Below are 13,625 nucleotides of genomic sequence, written 5' to 3'. Positions count from 1 at the left end.
TTCTAGAGAGATAGCTTTCCAAATGTGCATTGCTGTCTTGTTCTCTTAATTTCCCTTGGAAAAATACATATAGAGTTATGGAGGCTATGTAGCGTAGAGGAAGAAACAGTGAGTATGCATATGACATTTTGAGTTCTTTGGAAATCTCCAGAAGGAAAGAACTATAAATGTGAACACTGATAGACAAGCAACAAAAATAAAGTTCTGCAATTTCTTGAGGACTAGGGCATTTGAAGGTGGATTTCAAGGCCTGAGATGACCAAGACTGTAAATTGAAGCATGTAACCTGAAAGTGTCTCTTCTTATTCCCATTTGTTGTTTGAAATATTTGGAAGACTAAAAAAAAAGTCTCCTATTCCACTATAATAGGGGCTATATGTTTTTCATTGTTTACAAAAGAGAGACAGCTTCTCTTCTACTTATGCTCCAAGAGGTTGGAGACCTGAGAGGCCTCTAGAGCTAACAGCTTTAGCAAATGGGCTTAAATATGTCCTTTTTCCTCCCTTTTTCATTTCTTTATTGGTTAACCAAATGGAAAAGTCCAGTCTATTTCAACTACAGCAGATTGTCTACACAGAGAGACTGATGCTGTCCTACTATATAGATGCTATGGGAAGATACAATACAATTACAGAGAGGCAAAAGAAATTACAAACTGTTTCAGGACACTCAACAGCTATAAAAAAGAAAATAAATATTTTATTGTTAAAACAGGACAGATAGCATCTTGAGACATAATGAAAATAGCGATCTTCTTGAAATATAGTTTTTTAAAAACAAATGATAGTGTGATCTGTAGAGAAGACTCAAGCACAAAAAGCCCTCCCATGTTCATATTTTTAAAACAAGCAATTTAAAATGATAGTAGAAATATGTAAAATATATATATAAACACTGATAACCAAATGATTATATAAGATAATTTAGCGTAGTAAAGACCATCAGAAAACTCTGAAAACATCAAACTAAATGATAATAAGTTGTTTAAATTGAAGAAGAAATAATGTTGAATACCTCAAATATCTTTAATATTACCTTAGAGGCTTTAGCTATTGTGATAACAAATTAAAGTAAAATAATATAAAAATCCATATAATTAAATTTGTTATCCATGAAACTCAATAGATGCTATAAAATATCCATTGTATCATGTTATAAATAATAATTATATACACACATCTGTGTATTGTACCACCTACATTCTTCTGAAACACTGAAAAGAACTTCAAACAAAACTAATGATAAAAGCCAACACTGGCAAACAGAAATGTAGAGGGAAAATTAGCAGATAAATTATTTCAACACATTTGGAATGTACAAAGCTAATTGTAGTTATAACCATTGTCACAAAATAGTCTCAAAAAGATCAAGTAGCATATCAATAGTAAGAGATAGATAATGCCAGTTTTAAGAGGTGATAGCTTAGAAAATATTAGGTGTCTCTGGCAGAGCAGAAGGTCATAATAACAGGCAAGGGAGAAAGTGAAAAAATAGTCTTAAAATTTATACTGCAAAAAATGCATATATGTCATATATGTAGAATATCATTTTTCCAAAAACAGAGCACAATGAAGAAAAAAAAATAGCTGAAAATGTTCAGTAAGAATCAAAGCTTATTCTCTGGAAAAATTAAATTTCAGACTGTTGAGAAAACCAGCTTCCCTCTCTAAAGGGAAACAAAATAAAACATTAATTTACCATTCCCCAGGCAGGAGATATAAATTTTTCTAGAGAAATTGAAGTGCTCCCAAATCTTCTCTTTAGAGAGTTGCCTAATGGCCACCTTGAATAATGTCTTTTCAAAGATGGTGACTGGATTCTAGATGTTTTTTAAAGTACTTTGTGTATTCTTAAAATAAATTTTTATTTGCATTTCAAATGTATGCAGGAAGCCTTGTCTTAAATGTAACGGAACCACCGCTATGGTTTGAATGTTTGTCCCCTCCTAAACACATGTTGAAATTTAACTGTCATTATAACCATTTTAACAGCTGGATCCTTTATAAGGTGACTAAGTCATGAGAGTTGTTCCCCTGTGGCTGAATTAACGTCATTATCATGAGAGTTGGCTAGTTATTCCAGAAGTGGGTTCTGAGAAAAAGATAAGTTTGGCCCCTGTTGTCTCTCTGTCTTGTGTACTCACTTCTGCCTTCTACTCTTCTGCCATGGGATGACTCTCATCAGATGCAGGTGCCACGCTCTTGCTAAATAAATTTCTGTTCATTATAAGCTACCTAGTTTCACTTGTTCTGTCAAGGAAGCACAAAACAAACTAGGATAGAACATGGGTACTGATAATGGGGTTGTTGCTATAACAAACACTTGGAAATGTGGTATTCTCCTGTAGAAGCAGAAAAATGGAGTAAGACAACCACGAAATGTCAAAACAGAATAAAAAGATTAATGCAAAAACAGAAAAATTTTAGAAAATTTAAAGGATGGTTTTCATTTACAATCTGTAATATTACATCTCATCATATATCTAATTTTGCATGACTATTGATTCTAATACTATTGATTCTAATACATGACTATTGATTCATGTATTAGACTCTGAAAATATTTAGCCAAACACAGAGGTGTTTGGCTAAATATTGTGCAAAAAATAATGTATACGCTTTGACTTTCAGAAGCACTACCTTTAGGATTGTATTTTAATTTACCTTCCAAAGTATTGAGAGCTATCCAACTTTAGCTGGCATCACTCTTGTACTTGAACTTTTTTATATGCCCTAAAGCTATTTCCAAAGCAATTGGAGTCAAACCAGCTACAAAATAAAAATATCATAACAACACAGATTATACTAATACTATTTAAAATTCCATGTGATGGAGTAAGATAGTATAAGCATTGTGTTTTACATGTGTCATACAAAAGATAGAACAGTATACGATTTTAACAAAATGCAATTGTTTCAATTCTGAATCACTAAAAAATAAACTTTCAGTGAATTTTCTTTTCTTAAATTACCAGAACAGGCCAATTAAAATTCTGGTTAAGATTTTCAGAGTCTAATACATGAATCAATAGTCATGCAAAATTAGATATACGATGAGATGTAATACTACGGATTGTAAATTAAAACCATCCTTTAAACCAAAACAAAAACAAAATTTAACGAACACTTCGTTAACATGCTATAGTGAACAGATCTGAGTTAGCTTATTTTAGTCATTTATTTTAGATTAAAATGCAGAAAGAGCCAATTTAATTTATACTAGACAATTTAATGCTTAAGAAGTCATTAACATTAAATAATTTTTGAAGTTATTGAATTGATAAGATTGTTGTGTGTAAAGCTTTTATTCAAGAATACCTTGATATTTTCTAGGTTACTTAATTTCAAAATAAATGCATTACAGCCTTAGCTTTTTATGCTGCATTGCAGGAGATTATGCATATTTGAGAATTCTATGCTCAAAATGAAATGATTTAATGTAACAGATTATAGAAATAAAATAAAAGATCACATGATTTAAACAGATAGAATTCAAAGTATGAATTATTAGCAAAAATGTTTAAAACTCTAAAAGTTCATTTGGACTTGTTTATTCCTTTATACTTGGGAAAAAAGTAAAGTAGCATGCTATATTTAATTTCCAAATAGTAATAGGCTTTTCAGCTCATTAATTTTTTAAAACATAATTTTATATTTACTACAAAATGACCACCTATGGAGAATGAAACAAAACTAAATATAGATGCTCTTTAAATTATGATGGGGTCGCATTCTGATAAACCTATCCAAGTTGAATATATCATAAGTCAAGACTGCTTTTAAAACATACTACATTTTAAAATATGATAGTTTTATCTAGACATAACCTCATTGTAAGTAGAGGAGTGTATTGAATGTATATTGCTTTTGCATCATCATAAAATAAAAAAACTGTTAAGTGAAACCATCATAACTCAGAGATTATCCGTATGTGTTAGATTAACTGTATGTGGTATGCTCAAAGGAAGAAGGGAAGGTGTGAAGATATTCTATAAAGATACTCAAATTAGTGTTTCAAAATCAAACCCACTTAAAACATTGTTTGGTAGTATTTTTACATAGTTATACTGTTCTGCAATAATTATTTGAAAAGGGATAAAATGTACTTTTAAAAAACTTTCCATATTTTAAATCCAGAGAAGTGAGACAAAAAATATTAGCCACCTAGCTTCTTCTTTTTGTCTTAGCCAATCAGTTACTCAGCCTGCCATCATCTTTCACTGTTCTTTGATTCTGCACATGTTGATCCTTCAATTAAAATGCCCTTTTTCCTTTATCCACACTGACCTTTTACATATTCTCCAATAGCTATTCAGGTATCACTCACTTCATCTGTGAAATCCTCCATGCTTCACCTGAGATGTAGAGATGCCATCAGACATTTATAACCACAATCTCCTCCTTGATCTTAAGATTCCTGGTGGCAGAAGGTGAGTTTTATTTAATCTTTGTAAAAACTAGAAACCCCCAGTATTTAGCAGAAGAAATGGCACATAAATATTCATTTTTCCTTTTAAATTTAATCATGCCTGCAATTCACATGTGATAAACTAACATATATCACCTTAAATTATTGCTTATTTCTTTATGAGCTATTTAAATCTTTATATACTATGTCAGAGAGTGATAAGTGCTAATGGAGAGAAGAAATACATTTAGGTGAGTGAAGTGGAGAATGATGAGAGGCCATTTTCTAGAGTATGATCAATAGAGACTTGACTGAAAGATGCAACTGTTAAAATATTTGAGCAGGTACTTGAAGGAAGTTAGGAGAAGAGCTATTCTGGCATCTTTGGAAAGAGCATTCCAGGAAGAGGGAACAATAAATATAAAGCCAGAGGAACATACAGATACAAGAACTATCCCATTAAAAGAAGAACCAGGAGGCCATTGTCTGAGGAGCAGAGCCCAGGGATGGGTGAGGACAGGAATCTGATATGTATTCAAAGGAACAACATGACTACTTTGTGAAAAATATAAATATAAGGGCAGATAGTTGGAGATGAGTTAGGAGATAGTTAAATAATTTTGTAAAGAGATGATGGTGGCTTGGACCAGTGTGGGAGAGGAAGAGAGATTAGGAGTGACAAGATACCAAATGTATTTCAATGGTGGTGACAATAGGATGTAGTATCTATATTGACTTTCTAAGGCTGCTGTACCACAGACTGGATGACATAAACAAAACAAATTATTCTCTCACAGTTCCGGAGGCTAGAATTCCAAAATCAAGATGTTGGTAGGCTGGTTCCTTCTGAAGGCTTGAAAATAGGCTCTATTCCAGGCCTTTCTCTTTGGCTTATAGATGACCATCTTCTTGTGTCTGTTCACATTGTCTTCATATGGTATTCATGTGTCTGTTTTTAAATTTTCTCTTTTCATAAGGACTCCAATAATATTGGATTAAGGCCTAATCTAATGATTTCATTTTAAGTGATTACCTCTATAAAAACCTGTCTTTTAATAAAGTCACATTCTGAGGTTCTGGGAATTATGATTTCAACATATGAATTTTGAGGTTATTCAATTTAAACCATAACATGGTACATGAGAAAAAGGGGAGTTTGACCTTTGCAAACAAAGAAACAGAGTTGCTGGTTATCTTGAATACTCTTCAACATATCCATTCATTCAATATTCAACAAATAACACTTTTCTTGATGTTCGAACGCCATTCTTAGGACAGTGAACAAGACACCCGAACACTTGAACCACATATATTCAACATTATAATGGAGCATTCCTTAGGTACGCAATTATTCACTCCGGAAAGATTTTCAATTCCCCTAGTACTTCAGTTAAAATACTTCCTAAATTCTTACAGAGAACTAACAGGTAAGATCAGCATTTCCCTTCTTGGATGGTAACAACAGATTTTACTTGTAAATTTTGGCAGGTAACTTGCTTCTTTGAAATGTTGTTTCCTCTCTATAAAATGGGGAAGACATATTGACCTCATAAGATTATAGAATTAAATAAAATATCATATGCCGAAGATAGTCCAGGGCATATAGTAATCATGCAAAAATTGTAAAAATATAGAAATCTTGAAGCTGGACATCATCACAGACATCTGGCCTTAATACTATGGGCCAGGTAAATGATGAGCATAATTCCAATTGATCTGAGATTGAGTTATGTCTGTATTCATGAAGAAAAGATTTAATAGGGAAAATCAGAAAGTCACCTGTCATCTTGGAGGTACTCATAGCTGATAAAAAGTGTGAAAGAAAAAATATTTTTTGTATCCCTAAAGCCTGACACAAAGACAGAATACACTTTCATTATTATACACCAAATTACTTGTAGGAGAGGCATTGGTGTCTCATTCATGTCCATATCCCTTCCCTGTGCCTAGCTGAGGACTAATGCAAAGCAAGTGCTCCAAATTATTTGCAAATTAAGCATTCAGGTCATTGGCAGTACAATAAAATATGAAAAACAGGATCCAATTGGATAGCACATTTGTTTTTCACTGGCAAATAATCTTATGGAAATAAAGAGACAGGAGAAAAGGCTGTGCTAGAATCAGGATGGGAGGCTTGTGAGATGCATGGGGTGCTGAGACATTCCCTTATTCATGTAGCAAACACTGAGCCATGCATGACACTGCACCCAACTTGGGATGTAAACGTAAGTAATATCAGATTCTTAATTGTCTCACATATTTTGGTTGCAGAGACAGTATACACTAATAATAAACAGCACTTATGACCCCTCAATATGTGCCAGGCATTGTTCTAAGTTATTTGCATGGATTAATTATTTTTATCCTCACAATAATTCTATGAGAAATGAAGGCACAAAGAACTTAGGAAATGTACCAATGTCACATAGCTAGTAAATGGTGGAGCTGAGATTTGAACCCCAAGCAGTCAAGCTCTGAAGACTGTACTTTTAACCACCATGCCTTTTTGAAAAGCTAGTTCTCATGTAGTTTAGTGACTAAAGTGATAGATTCATAAATAAATGTATATATTTAATAAAAGGGATAGAAGTGATGATAATGCCTTATACCAGGTAGGATAGCAATTATAAAAAAAGTTAACAAATAATTGAGAGAATGTGGAGAAAAGAAAACATTTGTACACTATTTGCAAAAATGAAAATTGGTACAGCCATTATGGAAAACCGTATGGAGATTCCTCAAAAAAATAAAAATTGAATTACCATATGATTGAGCAATCTCACCTCTGCATATATAACCAAATGTAATGTCACAAAATATGTCATTGAATAGTGATATGTAGCAATCAAAGAAGCTGAATCAGTAAATATTTCAGTAAAATATATCTCTGAATATGAACATTTTAATGAATTCATTGGCCAGTTTATTTTCCTATTAACATATGCACAAGATAAATAGATAATTGTATATATACATATATATATACACACACAGAGAGAGAGCCTATTTTCCAACAGTATAACATAGAATGTTTAAGTGATGGCAAACTTATACATTATAGTTTAACTGTAAGCTCTTTTTGTCACTCTTAGTAATATATGAACTAATGGTATGTCTTATATTTAATGATGTCTTAAATTTAATAAATCTAGGTAAGTAATATGTCGGATAATAATAATATTATAAGTGCTATGAGCAAAAATTAAATTAGGCAAAGCAGTTTTAGAAAAGCAGAGGATGGGGATTACTATTTTATACAAGTCATGTAAAAACACCTTTACTAGTATGTTCTTTGAGCTGTGGATTGAAGGTATAAGAAAGAATTATTTTAGGTAGATAAATCAACAACATTTGAGGCAGGAATGTGACTGGCCAGGTGATGCAAGAAATAAAACTTTACAGAGAGTAATTACAGGGGAATGTTGTAACAGACAAAGTCTAAGAATTAGTGGGTATACAAATATATATACATACATATATATACACATACGTATATACATATACACACACACATGTATGTAAGGTCTCTTTTCTAAAGTATCAAATAGAATGTTTAAGTGATGACATAGTATGTATAAAAATTAGAACTGAAAGATTTTGCTGACAAATGAATGTAGAATATATAAGAAATAGAGGAAATGAGTATGACCTTAAGGTTTTGGCAAGAAATCAGACTAAGATTTTACCCTAAAGATTAGACGAAGATAAGTTGCAGAAATTAAGAAGACTTAATAAAGGACATATTTGGAGGTGGGATATCAAGAGTAGTTTTTCCTATATTTAATTATGAGCATTTTCTTGAGGAGAAATTGATTTCTCAAAATGTATGTTTATATATATATATAATATATATAATTTGTGGACTAGACACTCAGTATTCAAATTGTTAATTGTAATAAACACAAAGACATAGAAAAACACACACATACGTGACACAGAACCTGAAGTCAAATATTAGATGTAATGATCTACATTTAGATGAACATACAATTGTCAAGTTATTAACTTAGGTGAGAGTGTCTCATTCAAGCACTTTAAAATCACTGCTTCTCAGAATCTCACAGTTTTCTGGAATGCTAACTGCACCAGATGGTCTTACAACTTGGCTGCACAGTGAGATGATATGTTCAAAAGACAGGTTGGCATAATGTGTGAGAACAGAATGCAAGACAAAGAGAAACGCTGGCCTCTTACACACAATCAAGTTCTCTGGGGGAAAGAAATGCACAAAATGATAAGCTTTCATCTCTGCTTATGGCATATTTTTCTTTCCAGTTACTCAGTCTGAGTAAAATCAGTCAATTTTCTAAACGTAAATGAGTCACTTAATCTCTCTTTTTACCAGACAGAAAGCTATTTACCAAGATACCTTGCACTGGGATTCCATTTTAAAGACGAACTGATTGATACGTGACTCTACTGATAGAGCTTAGAACTAACCTTATATGTGACAATTTCCCCTCAGTATGCTAAAAAAGATTCAATAAAAATGAAATAAAAAATTACTAGGACATTTCATTAGTGTATATATATACATATATATATCTCAGCAAATAATTTTTATATAAATTTTAGAAAGGAATTTTAACAGCTGTAAGTATGCATGTAATTATATTTGAAAATATAGGTGTGGCATTACCACTAATGATAAGTTAATTAGATGGCTTTTTTTTTCTTCCTAGAATTTTTTGGTTTTGCCTCTAGAGACTATTATCAGAACACCCATTAGGTTAATAAAGCCAGTGCCTGGCACAGTGCCTGTGGCAAATAAGGCTTAAATTTCTGAAGCTGAGCTTATTGAGTAGAATTCAATATAGCACTCATATTACTGAATGTCCATTAGCTTTTTGTCCTAAAAATTAATAATAAATTTAGATAACATCTTATTTAATATTATATACACATATGTGTTAAATCTTGGCATAATATTTTAATACAAAATTTTAATTGGATATTTTTAAACAATTCAATGGCTTTTATCATATATATTTGAGGTATACAACATGTTTTGATACACATATAATAGTTAAGTGATTACAATCCACAAAAATTTATCCATCACTTCACATACTTACCTTTTAAAAAAAAATGGTAAGATCACCTAAAATCTCTACTTCAGCAAATTTTCAGAATATAATATAATATTATTAACTATAGTCCTTATTCTATACATCTTTAGACTTATCCTAATATGACTGTAATTTTGTATGCTATGACTTACATCTCCCCATTTCTCCCCATCCTTCCACTGATGATCACCTTTCTACTTCCTTTTTTTGTATTGAGCTTTGTTCAGATTTTACATATAAATGCAAATTTGCAGTATTTCTCTTTCTGTGTGTGGCTTATTTCACTTAATATAATGTCTTCTAGATTCACCTGTGACATCAAAGATTTTGTGTGTGTGTGTGTGTGTGTGTATGTACATACACTAAAGTCTAAAGTTTATTCATCCATTTACCCATCAATGGACACCTAGGTTGATTCTACATCTTTTTTTTTTATTCATCAATTATGATATCTTTTTTTAAATTTATTATTATTATTATTATTATTATACTTTAAGTTTTAGGGTACATGTGCACAATGTGCAGGTTAGTTACAGATGTATACATGTGCCATGCTGCTGTGCTGCACTCATTAACTCGTCATTTAGCATTAGGTATATCTCATAAAGCTATCCCTCCCCCCTCCTCCCACCCCACAACAGTCCCCAGAGTGTGATGTTCCCCTTCCTGTGTCCATGTGTTCTCATTGTTCAATTCCCAACTATGAGTGAGAATATGCGGTGTTTGGTTTTTTGTTCTTGTGGTAGTTTACTGAGAATGATGATTTCCAATTTCATCCATGTCCCTACAAAGGACATGAACTCATCATTTTTTATGGCTGCATAGTATTCCATGGTGTATATGTGCCACATTTTCTCAATCCAGTCTATCGTTGTTGGACATTTGGGTTGGTTCCAAGTCTTTGCTATTGTGAATAGTGCCGCAATAAACATACATGTGCATGTGTCTTTATAGCAGCATGATTTATAGTCCTTTGGGTATATACCCAGTAATGGGATTGCTGGGTCAAATGGTATTTCCAGTTCTAGATCCCAGAGGAATCACCACTCTGACTTCCACAATGGTTGAACTAGTTTACAGTCCCACCAACAGTGTAAAAGTGTTCCTATTTCTCCACATCCTCTCCAGCACCTGTTGTTTCCTGACTTTTTAATTATTACCCATCTTGTCTATTTTTCTTTTTACTTTGAGATGGAGCCTCTCTCTGTCGCCCAGACTGGAATGCAGTGGTGTGATCTCAGATCACTGAAACCTCAGCCTCCCAGGTTCAAGCGATTCTCCTGCCTCAGCCTCCCAAGTAGCTGGGAACACAGGCATGTGCCACCACCTCCAGCTGATTTATGTAGTTTTAGTAGAGACAAGGTTTTGTCATGTTGGCCAGGCTGGTCTTGAACTCCTGACCTCAGGTGATCCACCCTCTTTGGCCTCCCAAAGTGTTGGGATTACAGGCATGAGCCACTGCACTGTCTATTGTAAATAATGCTATCATGAACATGGGACCATGGATATCTCTGAGGTGCTGATTCATTTCCTATTGGTATATGCCCAGAAAAGAGACTGCTGAATCATATGTACTGTTATTTCTATTTTCTCAGAAATCTCTATATTGTTTTCCATAATGGCTATAACAATTTAGATTTCCACAAACAGTGTACAAGTGTTCCCTTTTCTCCACAACCTGGACAACACTTGTTATCTTTTGTCTTTTTGTTAATAGCCATCCTAACAGGTGAGAGATGACATCTCATTGTGGCTTTGATTTTCTTTTTTCTGATGACCAGTGATGTTGAGAAACTTTCTATAAACCTGTTGGCCTTTTTTGAAGAAATGTTTACTCAGACCTTTTGCCTGTTTTTTAATTAAGCTGTTTGATTTTTTGTTTTGTTTTTATTTGCTTTTTAGTTGTATGAGTTCCTCATATATATGGAAATTAACTCCTTATCAGACATATAGTTTGAAAATATTTTTTCCATTCCATTATCGTTTCATTTTTGTTGATTATTTTTTTCTTGAAGTAAAATTTTTATCCATTTGCAAATGACATGATCCTACACGTAGAAAAATCTAAGGACTTAATGAATAAGCTGTTAGAACTAATGAATGAATTCAGTAAAGTTATACAATGAAAGATTAACATAAAATATTAGTTATATTTCTTAACACCAAAACAATTTATGTGAAAAAGAAATTAAAAAAGCCTTTTTTTGATAGCATAAAAAAGGATAAAATACCTGGGAATAAATTTAATCAAGGAGATAAAAGATTTACTGAATACTGCAAGACATCAATACAAGAAATTGGAAAAGTCACAAATAAATAAGAAAATATCCCATGTTCATGAATTAAATGAATTAGTATTGTTAAAATGTTCATATCACCCAAAATGATACATAAATTCAACAAAATCCTTGTCAAAATTCCAATTGCAGTTTTCACAAAAATATTTTAAAAATCTCAAAATTTGCATGAAACTACAAAAGATCCCAATAGCTAAAAGAATCTTAAAAAAAAAAAGAATAGAGCTGGAGCCATCATACTTTCTGATTTCAAATTATCTTACATAGTTATAGTAATCAAAACATTATGATGCTCACATAAAAACAGATACATAGATCAATGGAATATAATAGAATACCCAGAAATAAGCCTATGCATATACAGTCAACTAATTCTTGAACAAGGCACCAAGAAAACACAATGAAAAAAAGATAGTCTTTTCAATAAATCATATTTCAAAAAAACTGGGTATTCATTTGCAAAAGACTAAAGTTAGATTCCTATCTTTTACTATAGGCAAAAATGCATCCAAAATGGAAACAAAACGTAAGCATAAGATCTGAATCTGTAAAAATTCTAACAGAAAACATAGGCAAAAATCTCCTTGAAATTGGCCTTAGCAATGATATTTTGGATATCACATTCAAAGTTCAGAAACAAAAGCAAAAATAAATAAGCGAAATATCATTAAACTAAAAATCACCTAATATTTACCTGCAGTTTTGCCTTAGATTTATTTTTTCTCAACAAATAAATTTCATTTTGAGTTGAGTGTATAATTGTTATTTTAAAAATTTTATAAGTAAACTAATGATCAAACATAAGTTTTTTACACCTTCATGTAAGAGTCCTGTTTCTCTACGAGGATGACATACCCTCTTTAAAATTTTTTAAATGAATGCATGTTTCTCCAAAAGAAATGGAAATGATTTATCTTTCTGAAAGATGAAGTAGACATTCCTTTTCCTACTACAGTCACTAAGTACAACCCAAAACCTTGGATCTTACACAGAAAACAGACATAATATTTTGAAAGGTGAAAGACAGAGGGAAGTGAACTATGGACCCCAGATCTCAAGATTTGAAGAGCACCATGATTGTGAATTTCCTGGAATTTCGTTTTGACTCATATATCAGAGACTGCTTGCTAAAGAAGCCAATAACATAGATGGAGTGATAGACATATTGATCCAGGGAACAGAACAGAGAACTCATAAATAGATCCACACAAAAATCCCTAACCTATATTTGACAAATGTTCAACAGCAACTCAGTGGAGGAAAAAAGTCACCCACCTTTTCATAAAAGAAATTAGATACTCATAAGTTAAAAATTTCACTTCAATCTAAATCTTGTTCCTTATACAAAAAATTCACTCAAAAGTTATAATGACAGATTTTAATTTAGAAGGTAGAACTATAAAATTTTCAGGAAAAAAAGAAAAAAATCTTTCGGATATAGGGCAAGGAAAATAGTACTTACATTTAATACCAAAACACAACTCATAAAAGGGAAAACTGGTAAGTAAATTTTACTAAAATATAACACTTTTGTTCTGTAATAGACCCTTATGAAGTAGAAAGTAAAAGCTACAGGGTGGGAGGAAATACTAACAAATCACATATTTGACAACGTTTTAGAATCTAGAACATAAAACAAGCTCTCAAAACTCAGCAGTAAAGACAAATATACAAACAAATCTAGTTAGAAAATGAGTAAAAGAAATAAAGTGACACTTCTTTGAAGAGGACATATAGATGGTAAATGAATAACGTATGAAAAGATCTTCAATATCATTAAACATTAGAGAAGTATGAATTAAAACCATGATGATACATCCCAGCACACTCATTCAAATATAAAATTTAAAAT

The 13,625-nt window shown here is 32.0% G+C and overlaps 1 long non-coding RNA gene across 9 annotated transcripts in view; it reads right to left on the bottom strand.

The window, feature by feature from the left end:
- The window catches only part of LOC105377254 (uncharacterized), a 33,412-nt gene extending 28,250 nt beyond the window's left edge, over positions 1-5,162 (bottom strand). For 2 of the 9 annotated variants that reach the window (XR_938820.2, XR_938821.2), the window contains exons 1-3: positions 5,095-5,162; positions 4,287-4,416; positions 2,144-2,249 (exon numbers count right to left, since the gene is read on the bottom strand). This is a non-coding gene — a long non-coding RNA (uncharacterized LOC105377254). Of the gene's footprint in view, positions 1-2,143; positions 2,250-4,286; positions 4,417-4,563; positions 4,777-4,847; positions 4,899-5,094 lie in introns of those variants that run through there. The other 7 variants (XR_938827.1, XR_938819.2, XR_938826.2 and 4 more) reach the window with 5 other exon arrangements.
- Between the last annotated feature and the right edge of the window lie 8,463 nt (positions 5,163-13,625).

The sequence above is a fragment of the Homo sapiens genome, chromosome 4 (genome assembly GCF_000001405.40).
Source record: "Homo sapiens chromosome 4, GRCh38.p14 Primary Assembly".
In the NCBI taxonomy this organism is placed as follows: Eukaryota; Metazoa; Chordata; class Mammalia; order Primates; family Hominidae; genus Homo; species Homo sapiens.
The sequence above is the reverse complement of the archived record's forward strand: the minus strand, read 5'-3'. Positions and strand labels throughout refer to the sequence as shown.